Raw genomic sequence first — 17284 nt, 5'->3', positions numbered from 1 at the left:
TAATTCATATGCTCACAGAATCTAAAAATGCTACTATGACTATAACTCAAACACAGATTCTCAATTTAACTAAAGGGTTATATCTAGTCAAAAATAAAGTCATACATTTAACTGACAAATAGCTTAACTCTTAAGCGTTAATGTTTTAATCTTGTCTAAATATCTCAAGCAAAAAAATGTGCTCTTTATAACGTCATACATCAAAACTTATTTAAGGAAAATGCTGGCCCAAGCTAATACAGAACCTCTGGAAGGAGGTAAAACTTACAAATATTCAGCTGACAAGTTTACATTAGCAATAGCCACCTCCTCCAAAAGAAAAAAAATTATGATAACTGACCACATAATAAATAACTATAATATTTACTCTTAGGAGCATTACTCATAAAGCCCATGTACTATAATACATTAGTTCACTTTAAATTCTTTATAAGTTATTTTTGAACTCAGATTTAAAAACCAAGAAAGCATTTCTCAAGACTTTAAGGAATTTTAAATTTGAGTGGTTCTGAATGAATCACAAGCAGCTCTCATTTGCCAATGTATAAATAATCCAATCACTGCTTATGAGCTCTAAGGCAATCTATTAAACCCCTTCCAGGACTCTGTAATTGCTGACTCAATTAAGAGTCAGCAACTGAATAAGAGCAGCTATGACAAAACATTCCAATCATTTGTACTTGGAATGTATTTTTTTAACTTCCCTTGACATGGGAGTAAATGAATTCACAACCAAACAAAAAAGGCAGTCAGTCACCATGGTCTCCAATCTTGAGCTTTTATCCTTATTTCCATCTACTCAGAATTCTTTTCTGTTAGATCTAAATGCTCAGATGTGGAAAGATGCCCAAGACATATTAGGGGAGAAAAACAGGCTAACTGCAGGGAAAAAACCCAAAATATAAGAGCATTTATATATAATAGGAGGAGAGAAAATACCTACAGCAATTGCTTGTATATTCATAGAACATTTCTGAAAGAATATAAATGTTCATAGTGGTCATCTCTGAGAAATGTGACCAAAGGGTTCCAAGACAGACTGAGTTGGGAACTTTTCCTCCTCTTTATGACCTTTAATATGATTTTAACTTTTTTTTTTTTCTTGAGACGGAGTTTCACTCTTGTTGCCCAGGCTGGAGTGCAATGGTGTGATCTCGGCTCACCGCAACCTCCGCCTCCCAGGTTCAAGCGATTCTCCTGCTTCAGCCTCCCTAGTAGCTGGGATTACAGGCATGTGCCACCACGCCCGGCTAATTTTGTATTTTTTTTTTTTCACTAGAGACGGGGTTTCTCCATGTTGGTCAGGCTGGTCTCGAACTCTGACCTCAGGTGATCCACCCGCCTCGGCCTCCCAAAGTGCTGGGATTACAGGCATGAGCCACTGCACCTGGCCATGATTTTAACTTTTTACGATGATTGTGTACTACACTTATAATAGTAAAGATACTTTTTTTTGAGAGACAGAGTCTTGCTCTGTCACCCAGACTGGAGTGCAGGAGCGTGATCTCTGCTAAGTGCAAACTCCGCCTCCCGGATTCAAGCGATTCTCCTGCCTCAGCTTCCCAAGTAACTGGGACTAGAGGCGCACACCACCACACCCGGCCAGTAGTAAAGATTTATTTCTTCCCTGCTCTTCACTATATAAAAGACCTGGAAGCACAACTTCTTGCCCCAGTGCAAAGCACCAGCCTATAACTAACGAGCAACCATCAATAAACTATGTATATGCCACCTCTTTCCTGAGATGCAGTATCAAAGAATTGTCTTGCTTTAAAAGAATATCTGATGCAAAGGTGCAGAAGAAAAAAAAGAGAAAAGGTAATAATGCCATAAAATGCTATTATCCCCTATTTGCTTGATTAGGTCATCACATACTTCAAAAGCTTAAGTTTTTGAAACAGGTAAAAACAGCCAACATTAGAAGGAGGTCACTTAAAATATATGCAATAATAATAGAAAAAAACTAACCCAGACAAGAAAATTAGGGTTTAAACTATACACAGGCTGGGCATGGTGGCTCATGCCTGTAATCCCAGCACTTTGGGAGGCCGAGGCGGGCCAGATTACCTGAGGTCAGGAGCTCGAGACCAGCCTGGCCAACATGGCGAAACCCAGTCTCTACTAAAAATACAAAAATTAGCCAGGCATGGTGGCAGGCACCTGTAATCAGGTTGGTGGTCTCAAACCTAGCAGCTACTCTACTCGGGAGGCTGAGGCAGGAGAATCGCTTGAACCCAGGAGGCGGAGGTTGCAGTAAGCCGAGATCGTGCCACTGTACTCCAGCCTGGGCAAAAAGAGTGAGATTCCCTCTCAAAAAAAAAAAAAAAAAAGAAGAAGCCATTTCAACTCCTTATCCATTATCACAGTAGTACTACTTTGGAAAAAATTTAAAAAGGCTATGTTCAAGAGGTAGCTGGCAATTATGCCATTCCTTCCACCTATGGCAAGGCATGGTTGACAAATTAGGTCATTCTTTTCCACACCCCCAGGCACATATCTTCAGAATCCTCCTTAACACAGTGCTATCACCAAGAGAGATAAAGCCCATTTGCCCTATATGTCTTATTCCGCGTCTCAGTTTTCTGACAATTTATCAGGGAAAGCTAGGGTCAGATTAATCTCTTCAGAATATACAAAAATGAAATGTTTATTTTTTAAAGCATTTCACTGAAATCAGGAGTTTGTGTTCCATTCTGCCTTGGGGGTCTCTGAACCAGGTACTAATTTCTATAATACAAACCTACACACTTCATATCAAACTCTAAAAGCTCATTAGACACTTTAGGAAAACCAAGTGCTTCTGAATGAACGAAGGTAAGAATAAGCATGAGAAAGGATTCTACAACCCATTATTCCATCCTTGGTGGAGTAAGCCAATAAATGCTAAATGTCTACAGGGTAATTTTAAAAGATTTTTAAATGCTCAAACCAGATGTTCTTATACAGGATATACAAATCAGCTTCTGCAGAAACCAGACTCCACCAGCTAATGACAATTACACTGTGCACAGATTGAAATGCAGCTGTTTTTCAGGAACTTTGTTCCTTGATTATACCCGGTTGTCAGAAACTATCCGTTACCACTAACAATGTTAAGTCACCAAAAATTTTTAAAGTACTGTTTTAAAAAAAAAAAAGAGAGAGACTCCCAATGTTGTATATTTGAAAACCTAGATGACACACTTGACAAAAACAACATTTACACAATCATCCAAGTTACATATGAAAACAAACGTTTCATCACAATTGTACAAGCCTCGTTATTATGATCATGGAAACCTAAGTTGGTCTCAAACCTAGAAGCAAGGTCTAGAAAGCACTCTCTGAGGCTGAAGTCTCAGTCTCACAACGTAGACTCTGCCTACAAGTCTCACAACACAGATTGTGTCTAGAAGAAATCTTCCCAAAAGAAAGCCAGGCGTGGTGGCTCACGCCTGTAATCCCAGCACTTTGGGAGGGTGAGGTGGGTGGATCACTTGAGGTCAGGAGTTCAAGACCAGCCTGACCAATATGGTGAAACCCTGCCTCTACCAAAAATACAAAAATTAGCCAGGCATGGTGGCACATGCCTGTAATCCCAGCTACTTGGGAGGCTGAAGCAGGAGAATTGCATGAACCCAGGAGATGGAGGTTGCAGTGAGCCAAGATCATGCCACTGCACTCCAACCTGGGTGACAAAGCAAGACTCCATCTCAAAAAAAAAAAGAAATCTTCCCAAAAGAAACCCATAAAATCATAATTAACTGCAGAGCTAGAGAGGATTTCAAAAACAATTTAAAATAATTTAATCCACCTTTCCTACTTTTAAAGAGGAGTACATGGATTTCTGCATGTTTATCAACTTGCACAAACACACATAAGTAGATCTAGTGCAAAGGCAGTGGAAGAACCAAAGACCAGTTCCCCAGGTGGGTGGAGGGGCACTCTCCTCCTGTGCCAGCCACCTCCTCCCAGATTCCTGGACTATGGGCTTCTTCCTCCTGGATGTACACTGGGATTTAAAAAGAGGTCATGTGAATGACTAAGGCCATGATACGTTATCAGAGAGCAAAAACTGAAAATGTAATCAATGAACAACAGTCTGTTAACTTGAAAACTGAAACACAGATTCATGGCAAGATGGTCACAAATGCCATTCATTTTGCATAGTGAAGCACACAAAAGGTAAAGCTGGAAGAATGTGTCAGCAGTTCCTTAAACACTACCACAGGAGTATGAGTTCTCCCGGAGTGGTAGGCATTAACTTCTGATTGCTGTGACACATACACCCTACTTGACATTATCTCCCTCTGTAGTGGAACACAATCTTATAATACATATCCTCTTACACAGGTCTTCTTAGCTTGACCCCCCCGGAGGGTGTGAGAGATGACCAAGGTATTTGTTCTTACACATTTTATCCTCAAAAGGGATCTAGGATCAGAATCCCAGCTACTCCAGAAGCTAAGGCAGGAGAACTGCCTGAGACCAGAAGGTTGCTGAGCCGTGATCGTGCCACTGCACTACTGCCTGAGCAGCAGAGAGAGCCTGCCCCCCAAAAAAAAAACCACCATTGCACTCCAGCCTGGGCAAAAAGAGCGAAACAAAAACAACCCACAGCCCTCAGCGTAGCCAACTACCTCCAAACAAACTTCTAATTTCAACTTGCATTTTCAGGTTCCTAGAAGGGAGCTCAGCCACCAGCAGAAACAATCAAGTAGCTGCTGTGTCTTACTATAAATCTGGGGAGGCCAGGGAGTGATGGCCAAAGTGGGCAGAACCTTTGAGCTCAGGAGTTCGAGAACAAAGAAACATAGCAAACCCCATCTCTACAAAAAATACAAAAAACTAGCCAGGCCTGGTGTGGGATGCCTGCAGTCCCAGCTACTGGGGAGGCTGAGATGGGAGGATCAAGTGAGCCCTGGAATTTACACCACTGCACTCCAGCCTGGACAACAGGGTGAGACCCTGTCTCAAATCAATCAATCAACCAATCAGGGGTCAACAGCCTGTTTCTGTATGGTTTTTGAGCTAAGAGTGATTTTCACATATTGAAATGGTTGAGGGTAGAGGGCCAAAGAACATTTCATGACATACAAAATTCATAAAAATTTTACATTTCTATATCCATAAATATCACTTTCACATTCATTTTGCCCATGGTTGCTCTGGCACAACTGCAGACTTGAGCAGTTGCGACAGACCATATGACCCACAAAACCTAAAATATTGACTACCTGGCTCTTTACAGAGAAAGGCAACTGATCTGTCCTATAAATCAACCGATCAGTAGTATGATGTTTATAAACCACCATTATGCGTGTTTAGTTCAATGTGAATCAATTACCAGGTGCTGGACAAGCAACCGAAAGCTTACAAAATTAAGGATCAGACACAATCACTCCTTAGGAAGTCCCTAACTATGGCCGGCCATGGTGGCTCACGTTTCTAATCCCACCACTTGGGGAGGCTGAGGCGGGTGCATCACCTGAGGTCAAGAGTTCGAGACCAGCCTGGCCAACATGGTGAAACCTCGTCTCTACTAAAAATACAAAAATTAGCAGGGCATGGTGGCACACGCCTGTAATCCCAGCTACTCGGGAGGCTGAGGCAGGAGAATTGCTTGAACCCAGGAGACAGACGTTGCAGTGAGCCCAGATCATGCCACTGCACTCCATCCTGCATAACAGAGCAAGACTCTATCTCAAAAAAAAAAAAGAAGTCCCTAACTAGAATAATCAAAAGGAAGGCATTGAGGAGACCTCTAAGCAACTTAAATAAAGGCCACAGTAAAACCAGTGGGTTTTTCTCAAAAGAAAACCCCTGAGGCTCCTACTTGGAGCCAGTGTACACAAGTTTTAAAAACTTCTAACAGGCTTCTTATTTGATTTTCAAGTTAATGACCAATAAGCAGAAAAATCACTGTTCTCAACAGGCATTTTAACTACAATACATGGTAACAGTGGCAGTAAAAGGATCACAGAGAAATCATAAAAAGAAGTCACCAGAATTTAAACACTTAAACTAGAATCCAAGGATGTGCTTAAGGAAACACCCATGTTTTCTGGGGGAGAGCTTCCATGGGTTTCAGTGTCAAGTGTCCCCAACTTAAAAAGTTACAACCACCAACACTCAGCCTCTATATGTTAAGTGCATCATGGCATTTCCACATGGAAGTAACTGATGCTCGTAAAGATTATGACAAAGAGTAATCAATAAAAAATTTAAATTGCATTTAGTGTACTTTGTGCTAAATTAAAGCAAGCCATGAAGTTCAACCTCAAGCAACTTGCTAATAACATTGCTATTTCTTGTTCCTTACCCTGGTTTAAGTGGGAAACAAACAAACAAAAAGATTATTTTATGCCTCAGTGTGGACCCACACCACTGAAATCTTCACTTAAAGTAAGTCCTTATAAACTCTCATGGAAGATGCCATGAATTCTCAAAATAATAAAATCTCCTGCACAGGAGACACTAAATGATCAATAGTTTAAAATATTACTTCCACCAGCCACACAGGTGCACACTTGTAATCGCAGTTAGGAAGCCAGGGCGGGAGGACTCAGCTCTGGAGTTCAAGACTAGCCTGGGCAACCTGAGCAACATAGTGAAACCTCATCTCTCTAACAAAAAATACAAAGAGACAGATGTCAATTGTGAGCGCTTTCAAAGTAATAGAAAACTGGCCAGTCATGGTGGTTCACACCTGTAATCTAGCACTTTGGGAGGCCGAGGTAGGTGGGTCACTTGAGGTCAGGAGTTTGAGACCAGCCTGGCCAACATGGTAAAACCCCGTCTCTACTAAAAATACAAAAATTAGACAGACACGGCGGCATGCGCCTGTGATCCCAGCTACTCCGGAGGCTGACTCACTTGAACCCACTGCAGTGAGCCGAGATCCCACCACTGCACTCCACCCTGGGTGACAGAGCAAGAACTTGTCTCAAAAAAAAAAAAAGAGAGAGAAAATGTAGTTTACTTCCCTCAACAAGTAAGCCCAAAAAAATCTAAGGTTTTAAAAATTAACTTTCTTCAACTGCTCTCTATCACATTATGTCCTACCTCTACCTGAAGAACTAAAGGCAAAAAGTAAATACTGAATTCGTTTTAGAGTAACCAAAATTTGGTCACTGAACATTTACTGTGTGCACATCGTACACTATGGGTCTAAGGGATTAAACGTAAAAATACATGGCCCCTTTCCTAGTGATAAAGGCTTTCCAGTCCAAGTCTGGTAATCTTTATGTTTGTGCTTTGAGGTGAGGAAAGGATCCTTAATAATCATTCAAGTCCTGGGCTAGGAAAGGCCCCATCATAGCCAAAGTTTTTAGCATCAATTTCTTCCATTCTATTCCATGACACCCAACCTTAAACTTACAAATTGTCACTTCTATGTGTAATTAAAAAGGCCCTCCAAGGTCATTTTCTTGCATTTATTAGGAGAGCAGAGTAACTTGCTTCATCAGGGCTATGAACTGCAAAAAAAGAAAAAATAAAAATAATGCATACACCCTCATGATCACAAACCAAAGTTTTCATATGAGAAATACACTAGGCAAAGGACAATAGACTCAATAGACTCAACTAAATCTCAACTTCTGAGATATTACATTCCACAAACATAAAAAGAATTGTCCAGATTGTAAATACATGGTCATATAAAGTGCTGCAAGGACTTGAAAACGGAGAAAACAGATTTAAGACTTTTAAGGAAACAACTTACCTGTCTCAGGAATTAAAATACTTTCCTAATTTAAGATTGCTGATACCTTCTAAGAAACCAGAAACTCCAAGCAAACCCACCCTTCATGTTTAAAAAAAAAAAAAAAGTATTGTTGAATATGGTGCCAATTCTCTAAAGGCTTGTACAAGGGAGGAAATAAGTTTAAACGTGACGTAACTTTCACCGTTTTAACAATCAAGCTAAACCTCTTAATGCCAACCCAAATAAAAAGCAAGGTGTGTTCGCTAATATGTCATATTTCCCTCTATAACTGTTTTATAAACCTCACAGGAAAACCAGTTTTATAATGCAAATTCTGACAGACCATTAACTGTAATGCTGTAACAGGTGCCCCATAATACTAAATGACAGGGAAGAGCTTCACAAACAAGAAAGTAAAGCAGCAAGCAGAACTGTGACAGATTCCTATGCCTCCTCTTCTCTGACCAAACCCTAAAGAGACAGGATGTAATCTGTATTTGATATCTTGATGTTTACTGTTCCAACCACCTCAGTACTGAAACACAAACATCTGATAAATCTTTTTCCAACAAGTCTGTGGAAAGTAACATCAAGCAAGCAGATGATCTCCAAATTTAAGATTTCCAAATTACAATAAATACCATTTGGATTTCCTGCTTTTTTAAAATCCAGGCAACTTTATTTCCAAAGGCTTGCCTCCTCAGTGTCAGATATTCTGTCAAAAAGTTACTTAAGATTGCCGGGCACGGTGGCTCACGCCTGTAACCCCAGAACTTTGGGAGGCTGAGGCGGGCGGATCACGAGGTCAGGAGATCGAGACCATCCTGGCTAACACGGTGAAACCCCGTCTTAATAAAAATACAAAAAAATTAGCTGGGCATGGTGGCGGGTGCCTGTAGTCCCAGCTACTCTGGAGGCTGAGGCAGGAGAATGGCGTGAACCCGCGAGGCGGAGCTTACAGGGAGGCGGAGCTTACAGGGAGGCGGAGCTTACAGGGAGGCGGAGCTTACAGGGAGCCGAGATCGCACCCCTGCACTCCAGCCTGGGTGACAGAGCAAGCCTCCGTCTCAAAAAAAAAAAAAAAAAGTTACTTAAGATTAAAATCGACTTAAGGGAAACAACCAAATGCAATAAATGGTCCTTTATTAGGCAGTGGTTTAGACAAAGCTTCTCTATTACAGTCTGGGGCTAAATGGGGAAATCTGGACATGTTACAGTAATAGATTATATTAAAACTAACCAAGCTAGCTGACAGAAAAAAAAAAGGTCCTCAGAGCTGGGTGCGGTGGCTCACGCCTGTAATCCCAGCACTTTGGGAGGCCGAGGCAGGTGGATCACCTGAGGTCAGGAGTTCAAGACCAGCCTGACAAACATGGTGAAAACCCGTCTCTACTAAAAATACAAAAAATTAGCTGGGCGTGGTGGCGGGAGCCTGTAATCCCAGCTACTCAGGAGGCTGAGGCAGGAGAATCGCTTGAACCTGGGAGGCATAGGTTGCAGTGAGATCCCACCATTGCACTCCAGCCTGGGCAACATGAGCAAAACTTCATCTCAAAAAAAAAAAAAAAAGAAAAAATCCTTACAGATGGTATATTCATGTATCTCATTTTTATTAAAACACACATGCACATGCATAGAAAATTATCTGAAAAGTAATACAGTAGTCATCTATGGATGGTAGCAATTTGTTTTTATATTTGTTTCCTTGTATTTTCTAATTTTCAAAAACGTACATGTAACACTACTTGTGTAATAACTTTTTAACAGCTAAAGTCAAAAATTAATATCGGTCACGTGCCTACTATACGTAAGACGCAATGGAAATCTGCTTTTACTCTCACCTAGTCCTCCAAGTTTGTTTTTTAGGTCATCTTTCTTCTCCAACCCCCTAGGCTAAGCAACAAAACACATTTCCTCAAACTCCAATAGGTTTTCTCCCTCTAGTTTCACCCAGACACACATACTTTTCATTGCTGTCCCTGTATAGCTACTCTTTCAACCTGGATAACTAATATAAGCACAGCACTGGTTTACAGGCAGAAAACCAGTCAAGTGAAGCGGGGAGAACTAAGAAGGTGGGTTTTTTTTTTTTCTTTTAAATGAACACATATCTACCTTTGTTAAAGCTAAAATATATGTGCAGCCAACCCAACTTTTACTAGTAAGCAGTCTGTACTCTTAAAGGTGGAATCAAGTTCAAGTTCTACCTTACTTTCAGACACTCCCATTATCTCTGCTAAATAGGGACCAAAGGAAATAGCAGGAAACCTAACACTTAAACAGCTTAAAATTATATTTATTCTACACATTAAAATGACAATGCCAAGTAAAAGACACTTATAGAAGTATCCAAACTTTGAAGAAGACAGCAAAATACCAAGCAGAAAGTCATCTGATTTACAAGTGACCGTAAGCAGGCTGGGCGTGGTGGCTCACGCCTGTAATCCCAGCACTTTGAGAGGCCGGGGCGGGCGGATCACGAGGTCAGGAGTTCGAGACCAGCCTGGCTAATATGGTGAAACCCCGTCTCTACTAAAAATACAAAAAAAAATTAGCCAGCCGTGGTGGCACGCGCCTGTAGTCCCAGCTACTCAGGGGGCTGAGGCAGGAGAATCGCTTGAACCCAGGAGGCGGAGGTTGCAGTGAGCTAAGATCATGCCACTGCACTCCAGCCTGGGTGACAGAGCGAAAGACTCTGTCTCAAGGAACAAAAAAAAAAAAAAAAAAAAGTGACCGTAAGTAAATGAGACTAAGATCTTTGGGATAAAAGGACAATAAAAATTCTGGGTTGCATGTACTTGCTAAGAGTGTTACTCACAAAACATCCCATTTAACTCCCCCCACGTATGTTGCCCACCTACAACAAATTATTACATCAAAAGTGTTGACTCAATGCAAGTATGGACATATTGAATGCTTCCTTTCTCCACCTTTCTCCACCTGTGATTAAATCTTGATCAGTTGTGATATGATCAAAATGCAACTTACTATAAAATCTGTAACCACTGGGGAGTCACTACCTAAATCAGCTTTCAGGGAAATAATTTCCCTCTATCTTAAAACTAGTTCATTAGCTTTGAAAGGTATTAGCCTTGAGCTACAAGTAGCAAGAGAGCTAGCCTTCATGGCGGGTATTATAAAAAGGAAAAATAGTTCACCTAATAAAAAACCTTTGGGAAAGAACCCCCTAAGCATTCCCATTAATGGAAACCTCAGATCCTCTCCTACTTTCCTAAAAACGTAGCTGTCTCAGGTCATTCACTGCAGCTGTCATTTTACAAAAGAAAATTTAAATTCCCTCTTGGCCGGGGCAAATAGAGGGCGACAGCCCCTCGCCCCTGCCGAAGTAAGGCAGGGCGCCAGCCCTCTCGTTACTAGAAGGCAAGCTAAAGCTCCTTTTAAACGGTCTCCGGATGACGACGCATTCCTAACGGGTTTCGAAGGCATGTTTAAATCGCCCGCTTTTTTGTTTGCTCTCAGCATTCACCGGCGCCGGGACTGCGGCCGCCCCCACCCGCTTGGGGTGGGAAACCTGGGGCCAGCGGAGCCTGGCGCGGGAGGAATCCTGGGGCGAGGGGAGACCCGGGACGCGCCAAGCCGGGGTTGAGGACTCGAGAATAAGGAGCTCTAGTGGGAGGGTGGCGGAGTGAGAGGGGACGTGAGAAGGCTAAGGATCCCAGCAAGGGGGGCACCCCGGGGTTGTGGGGGAGCTCGGCCGCCGCCCCGCAGCGGCGAACGCTCCGCGCGGCTCCCGCCGCCCGCCGGGGAATGCGCAGGGCCGCGGTTCCGCGCGGCGCCGACCCCTCCCTCTCTCCCAATCCTCCTCCTCCTCCTCCTCCCGAGGCGACAGAAACAACAGCGCGGGAGGAGGGGAAAGTAACTCCCGGCACCTCCGCCGGAATTAGCCCCGGTGCAGTGATGACACCTTCTCGTGGCGCAACCAAGCCCCGCTCCCTCCGCAGCGGCGTCCCCGCCGCCGCCGCCCTCTCCATTTGAAAGTGGCCACCCCCCGCCGCGGCAGCTCCTCCCGCCCCGCCGCCGCCAGCTGCACCAATCCGCTCGGCCCCAGTTGCAAATCAAACGCTCCCTCGCGTCCAGAAGCCACTTGCGCCGCTGGAAACGGCCGCGCCGTCCCCCTCCCCGAGTCCCTCCGGGGCGGCACCTTCGGGCTGGGGCGGGCGCGCCGGCGAGAAACGGTTTTAAGATGGGAGCGGCAGCGGCGGCGAGGAGCTCCGAGCGGGCTCGGCTCCCGCTCCCGCTCCCGCCCCCAGACAGTTCTGGAAACTGTGTATCACCTCTGTCACAGGAAGCCATCCGGCGAGGAAGGCGGCGCGGAACCAACAAACAAACGCCTGCGGCCGCCCGCCGGAACCGGCGCGGGGACCGCGTCGGGCTTCGGGCCGTTCCCGGGGCGGGGGCGCAGCGGCCACCCCCGCGCCGCGGGCTTTGTGCGGGGCGGGCGCGGCGGGCCGGGCGTCCCCGCCCCCGCAACCCCCCACCCCGGCCCGGGCGGCGCAGCTGGGACCGTTAGGTGACGCTCCGGCCGCAGCGGAGAAGCAGCGCCTCGGCCGCCGCCCGCCCCCATTTCCACACTGGGCCGCCTCTCCTCAAACACCAGAGGCGGGCTACAAAAGTTGGCCCCGGGGCCACCCAGCACCTGCCCACGTGCCGCGGAGGCTCGCTCCCGAGTCTCCCCCGGTTCCCTCCCCCGCCGCCCTCGGCCGCCAGGTCACCTATTACCGGTGGGAGGGGAGAGAGGCTGCTATTTAAACGCCCGCGGAAGTTGAGGCACCCCCACTGGCGGGTGCCGTGCACCTGCCTCCCGCCGCCGCGCTCCGCCACTTTGAGCAGCAGCCGCGTCCTCAGCCCCGCCTCCTGCCCGAAGGCGGGCGGGGGGGAGCGGGAAGGAGGTGGAAGGGATCGAATTTCTCCAGCAAATGGGACCGTTCCGACAGGATTCGGTTCCCCGGTCAACATTCCACATTCCATCCCTCTCCCGCATTTGCAAGCCAATGCCGAGCAACCCGGAAAGCCTGCTGGCTACCGAACAACAGCCCCCAACTCGCAAACACAGACTCACAGGCACAAGACACGTGCACTGAAGGGCTCTGCAACTTGCAGTCCCGGGGTACACACTACACGTTCATTTAAGGAAGCAAGGAGACCAAGAGACCCCACCCCCACAATTTGCAGATGGTGCCAAAGGTTGCAATTTGCAATCCCCTTTAAGTTCACGATTAATCGGTACTTTGCTCTACCAACGCCAACTCCTACCCCATTTCATCGATTAAGGGGTTTTACACTTTACAAGCAGTCGCGCTGTAAGTAAAAGATCTGATCACTGGAAGCCCAGTTCGGAAGAATCTAATTGCCAAACTGTCCCTCCACCCCCACCCCCACCCCCCTCTCACTGCCCTTGAATTGATGCAATGAATATTTTGGACATGTGGTGACGCGGTGACAAGAGCCAGGGCTGCGGCCACCACACACAGATGTACCTACGCACACCTATGTTTGGACAAATACAGTCCCACCACACACACGGTCTCACACACTCTGGATTCATATATGTACGCGAACCTGCGTTCTGCCATTGCCATCTGTCTACCAAGTTGCTACTATGCTTTCCACTTTCATGCAGCCTAATGCACTTTGGCTTTCTAAAAAAAAAAAAAAAAAAAAAAAACCTATAAACTAAAGCCAACTTAAACTGGGCTTCTGCTCCTAAACGCGTTTAATTGATGATTCACCTGAAAACCGCATGTTCTTCGCAAATCCAAAAGAAGAAATAGCTCTAAGTCTTCAGCCCCCCAAATTTGAAAAAAAAAATCATAATAAAACTTACTGATCCAACATAGATCAATTCTCAGGATCCAAAAATCATCCTCTCCTCCTCCTCCGGCCCCCGCCCCGGCAATGCCCAAGTTACTGGTGGGATAGTAACGCTGCGCTCAGCGGCTGCCTCCCTCCCTCCTCGCTACAGATCGAGAACCCAATCTTTTGGCGCCATATTAATGACGTATTATATTATTTCCACTAGGCAGCGACCTTCGGCATTAAATTACTCCCGAGAACTCCCGAGCAAAGCAACAAAACCATCAAATATGGCTGAGCCTCTCGGCTCGTCCTGCAGCCGCCGCCGCCGCCGCCGCCGTCGCCGCCGCGGGACCGGGACGCGCACACGGACCCACACGCGGACACGCGCGGACACACGCGCGGCGCGCCCACCCCGCGCGCCCCCCGCGGCCCGCGCGCGTACCTGCTGCGGAGGGGTTCGGCCGAGGCGCTGGGCTGGGCGCCGCTCGCTCGCTCGGAGCTGCATGAGTTCGGGCCGCGGCGGGCGGGGAGCCGGGCGGGCCCCTGCTCTCGCCGGCGCGCACACACCGGGCACTCGCGCACGGAGGCACTCTCGGTCTGGCGTTTGGCTTGTTATGGAGGAAGGACTATGTGAATCAAACTCATTTCTGGGTCACTGCTGCCACAGGGGGGAGCACTTTAATCCCTTGCCAAAACGAGAGGGTGGGGACGGGAGGGCGGAGGGAGCATGCGGGGAGCCCGCGGCGCTGGGGCTCGGTCCCTCGTTAACTCTTCGCAGCCCTAGCCGCAGCCGGCTCAGCCTGCGCCAGTGGGGGCTCGCAAAGAACGGCACTGTTCAGCTCTTAGTCTCTTTCCTTACTTCACCCACCTTGTGAGCCTAGAAATTCTTGAGGTGTCTCCAAGCAAGTGGGTTTTTAAATTAGCCCCTTCAAACTGCTGTCCCAGTTTCAACTCTTGTCTGACATCTAGAAATGGATTCTTTCAGAATAGTTTAAAATTACGTAGATTAAAATATGGCTATTAAGATGTGTCATTTGGGTGAAAGGTTTTATTTTTAGGCTGAGTGGCAAAATAGTTGTTTGTAGTAACAGTTTTAGGGAGTTGCACATTAGGATGACATTTTTAAATAGAGAGAATCCAATTCTGAATAACATCTTTACCTAAATTTGTATGGAAGTGATCATTGCAAATGAGCATTAATTCATTAGAAGATATTATTTATAAATTGACACCACTTTATGTTACACATTACTACAGAATTGGACATCTTCTCCCAAATATGAGGAGTGAGCCTAATGCTAAAACTAGAATTGCAGACTAGTATCAGATCAGTCATCGGAGATTCATTTGGGGGTATTTATGTGTAAAAAGGAGTGGTTACTGATTTTCTGCAGAAGACAAGCTTGCTTTTTCATATAGAGGGCAACATACTTCTTTCATGGATTCATCTAGGGAAATAGAGGGGTATATGACATTCAACTTCAATAAGAAAAAAGTACGGATTAAAAACTCCCATTCAGGCCGGGCGCGGTGGCTCACGCCTGTAATCCCAGCACTTTGGGAGGCCTAGGTGGGCGGATCACCTGAGGTCGGGAGTTCAAGACCAGCCTGACCAACATGGATAAACCCTGTCTCTACTAAAAAATACAAAATTAGCCGGGCATGGTGGTACATGCCTGTAACCCCAGCTACTGGGGAGGCTGAGGCAGGAGAATCGCTTGAACCCGGGAGGTGGAGGTTGTGATGAGCCGATAATGCGCCATTGTGGTCCAGCCTGGGCAATAAGAGCGAAACTCCGTCTCAAATAAATAAATAAATAAATAGGAACAGTGATCACTAATTACAAAATTGAATATCGAACCCAAAAGGCATATGTGTCCACCGGAAGAATCTTTCTGAATATATCAGGTTTGATTTCATGTAATCCCACACCAGCCCAACTACCCACATCCAGACCCACATCCAGAACGTTATAATCTGATAAATGCGACAAAACAAAACTAATTGAGCCTTTCAGTTATTTTTCAGAAAACAAAGTAAGCCAGTGGAAATCCTAAGTACTGTATATGTCCTCTCCTGTTTCGCTAATGAAGAGTAGAAAGACTCCCTGCCAGTCCTATTCATGTGTTCACTTAATCCTGTTCAAAGCGATCACACATGTAAAGCACTGTGTTAACTATCATTATTACTATTCTTAGTATTGCACTTGTTATTGTTATTTTTACTGGTTCACCTCGCACATACTCTCTGTAGAAGTTAAAGTACACAGGCTTTGTAGCCAGACATGGCTGGATCTGGCTCTATCAGTTAGCAGTTTGTGTGCCTGTGGGATAAAAGAACTTTATCTGAGCCTCAGTTTCTTCCCTGGTAATAAAATTAAGTTAACAGCTGGCCCCTAACCTGAAGGGTTGTTAAGAGGAATCAGGCAACCTCATAACAGTTCAGGAGTAGAGGCCCTGGCAGTAGGAGGTTGTCCACTCCCTCGGCCATCACTCAACTCCTTCTTGGTTTTCTCTCCATCAAAAATTGCAACTTTTCTAAATTCCAAACAGCCTTACTTCACGCATTCATGTTAAGAAAATTTTTGTCGACCGGGCGCGGTGGCTCATGCCTGTAATCCCAGCACTTTGGGAGGCAGAGGCGGGCGGATCACGAGGTCAGGAGATCCAGACCATCCTGGCTAACACGGTGAAACCCCGTCTCTACTAAAAATACAAAAAATTAGCCGGGTGTGGTGGCGGGCGCCTGTAGTCCCAGCTGCTGGGGAGGCTGAGGCAGGAGAATGGCGTGAACCCGGCAGGAGGAGCTTGCAGTGTGCCGAGATCACGCCACTGCACTGTAGCCTGGGCGACAGAGCGAGACTCTGTCTCAAAAAAAAAATTTTTTTAACTCACATTTGCTGCTTACTCTTTTATTTGCTTTTTCTATCAAAAACATCAGGCACCAACGAAAGTATTGAATAAAATGGATGACAAAAATAAAGGGATAAAATGGCACACAAACTCCCCACACTGACACATTGAACATGAGTGAAGGTGCCATGTACAGAGTCTCAATTATGCCGTGGCTTCAGAATACTCATCCACTGAAACAGTGCTATGTGCTATAAATAGCCCTGGACAAGAAGTCAGGAGACTCCCACCAACTCCCAATATGACTCTTTGGGCTTTAGTTTCCCCACTGAGATGATAGGAAAAATAATGCCTAAGGCCCCTTTCTCTTTAACATTCAGTCATTTCTGATTTTCTTACCAAACTTAGAAACGTGATGATTATTTGAAGAAATGGCGGACAACTTGAATCCATAAGGAACATGTAAAAATATTTTGTCATCAATGATCAGCAGTTGGCATTTCTTAAATAATAGGTGTCTCTTGCCATCAGACCACAAAGGAAACTCCTATACAACCTATTTCTAAAATGGGAAAGGCAATGATATGGTTTGCCTTGCGGCAGCACAGATAATACAGCCTAGAATAAGAAGTACTAAGCTGGCAATTAGGAAAGCGAGTTTCTGATTCCACTCTGTCACTTACTGTCTTACCTTGCCAAATCATTCCGGATCATCATTTCCTAGTCTCTGGAATAGTTCTTTTTAATTCACACCTTATTATCAGAGATGAAAAGACATTCAACAAAATAGCTACAAGGTACTCAGTGTAATAGAAATATCAAGATTCTTGTCTTTCCTGTTCGTGGTGATAATTACAATTCTATATATCCTGTACATTCTGCTGTAGTCATAAACAGTTTAATTATTTTCTTCCATAATAATGGGTTT

The 17284-nt window shown here is 45.3% G+C and overlaps 1 protein-coding gene across 15 annotated transcripts in view, besides 11 other annotated features; it reads right to left on the bottom strand.

Annotated features, from left to right (window-relative positions):
* Nucleotides 1–14124, bottom strand: part of JADE1 (jade family PHD finger 1) — a 65525-nt gene extending 51401 nt beyond the window's left edge. For 4 of the 15 annotated variants that reach the window (NM_199320.4, XM_017008626.3, NM_001287437.2 and 1 more), the window contains exon 1: nt 13947–14124. Coding sequence is in view for 2 of the 15 variants with exons in the window: in XM_024454218.2 (XP_024309986.1) it covers nt 11983–12001 (19 nt within the window). In the remaining 13 variants the exon portion in view is untranslated. The other 11 variants (XM_024454217.2, XM_024454221.2, NM_001287441.2 and 8 more) reach the window with 8 other exon arrangements.
* Nucleotides 4149–4208: an enhancer, noted in NCBI's record as "active region_21897". NCBI's record gives its function as "activates an Ori minimal core promoter by ATAC-STARR-seq in GM12878 lymphoblastoid cells {active_cell/tissue: GM12878}" and the evidence as "EXISTENCE:reporter gene assay evidence [ECO:0000049][PMID:35858748]".
* Nucleotides 4229–4328: an enhancer, noted in NCBI's record as "active region_21896". NCBI's record gives its function as "activates an Ori minimal core promoter by ATAC-STARR-seq in GM12878 lymphoblastoid cells {active_cell/tissue: GM12878}" and the evidence as "EXISTENCE:reporter gene assay evidence [ECO:0000049][PMID:35858748]".
* Nucleotides 4539–4718: an enhancer, noted in NCBI's record as "active region_21895". NCBI's record gives its function as "activates an Ori minimal core promoter by ATAC-STARR-seq in GM12878 lymphoblastoid cells {active_cell/tissue: GM12878}" and the evidence as "EXISTENCE:reporter gene assay evidence [ECO:0000049][PMID:35858748]".
* Nucleotides 9705–10286: an enhancer, noted in NCBI's record as "H3K4me1 hESC enhancer chr4:129734693-129735274 (GRCh37/hg19 assembly coordinates)". NCBI's record gives its function as "activates a minimal SCP1, AML or CMV promoter by ChIP-STARR-seq in naive H9 embryonic stem cells {active_cell/tissue: H9 hESC(naive)}" and the evidence as "EXISTENCE:reporter gene assay evidence [ECO:0000049][PMID:30033119]".
* Nucleotides 10287–10868: an enhancer, noted in NCBI's record as "H3K27ac-H3K4me1 hESC enhancer chr4:129734111-129734692 (GRCh37/hg19 assembly coordinates)". NCBI's record gives its function as "activates a minimal SCP1, AML or CMV promoter by ChIP-STARR-seq in naive H9 embryonic stem cells {active_cell/tissue: H9 hESC(naive)}" and the evidence as "EXISTENCE:reporter gene assay evidence [ECO:0000049][PMID:30033119]".
* Nucleotides 11312–11881: a silencer, noted in NCBI's record as "silent region_15690". NCBI's record gives its function as "represses an Ori minimal core promoter by ATAC-STARR-seq in GM12878 lymphoblastoid cells {active_cell/tissue: GM12878}" and the evidence as "EXISTENCE:reporter gene assay evidence [ECO:0000049][PMID:35858748]".
* Nucleotides 12062–12161: a silencer, noted in NCBI's record as "silent region_15689". NCBI's record gives its function as "represses an Ori minimal core promoter by ATAC-STARR-seq in GM12878 lymphoblastoid cells {active_cell/tissue: GM12878}" and the evidence as "EXISTENCE:reporter gene assay evidence [ECO:0000049][PMID:35858748]".
* Nucleotides 12282–12561: a silencer, noted in NCBI's record as "silent region_15688". NCBI's record gives its function as "represses an Ori minimal core promoter by ATAC-STARR-seq in GM12878 lymphoblastoid cells {active_cell/tissue: GM12878}" and the evidence as "EXISTENCE:reporter gene assay evidence [ECO:0000049][PMID:35858748]".
* Nucleotides 13192–13311: a silencer, noted in NCBI's record as "silent region_15687". NCBI's record gives its function as "represses an Ori minimal core promoter by ATAC-STARR-seq in GM12878 lymphoblastoid cells {active_cell/tissue: GM12878}" and the evidence as "EXISTENCE:reporter gene assay evidence [ECO:0000049][PMID:35858748]".
* Nucleotides 13612–13721: an enhancer, noted in NCBI's record as "active region_21894". NCBI's record gives its function as "activates an Ori minimal core promoter by ATAC-STARR-seq in GM12878 lymphoblastoid cells {active_cell/tissue: GM12878}" and the evidence as "EXISTENCE:reporter gene assay evidence [ECO:0000049][PMID:35858748]".
* Nucleotides 13822–14301: a silencer, noted in NCBI's record as "silent region_15686". NCBI's record gives its function as "represses an Ori minimal core promoter by ATAC-STARR-seq in GM12878 lymphoblastoid cells {active_cell/tissue: GM12878}" and the evidence as "EXISTENCE:reporter gene assay evidence [ECO:0000049][PMID:35858748]".

This window comes from Homo sapiens, chromosome 4, assembly GCF_000001405.40.
Source record: "Homo sapiens chromosome 4, GRCh38.p14 Primary Assembly".
NCBI lineage: Eukaryota > Metazoa > Chordata > Mammalia > Primates > Hominidae > Homo > Homo sapiens.
Note: the sequence above shows the minus strand (reverse complement) of the source record. Positions and strands in the feature narration are given on the sequence as shown.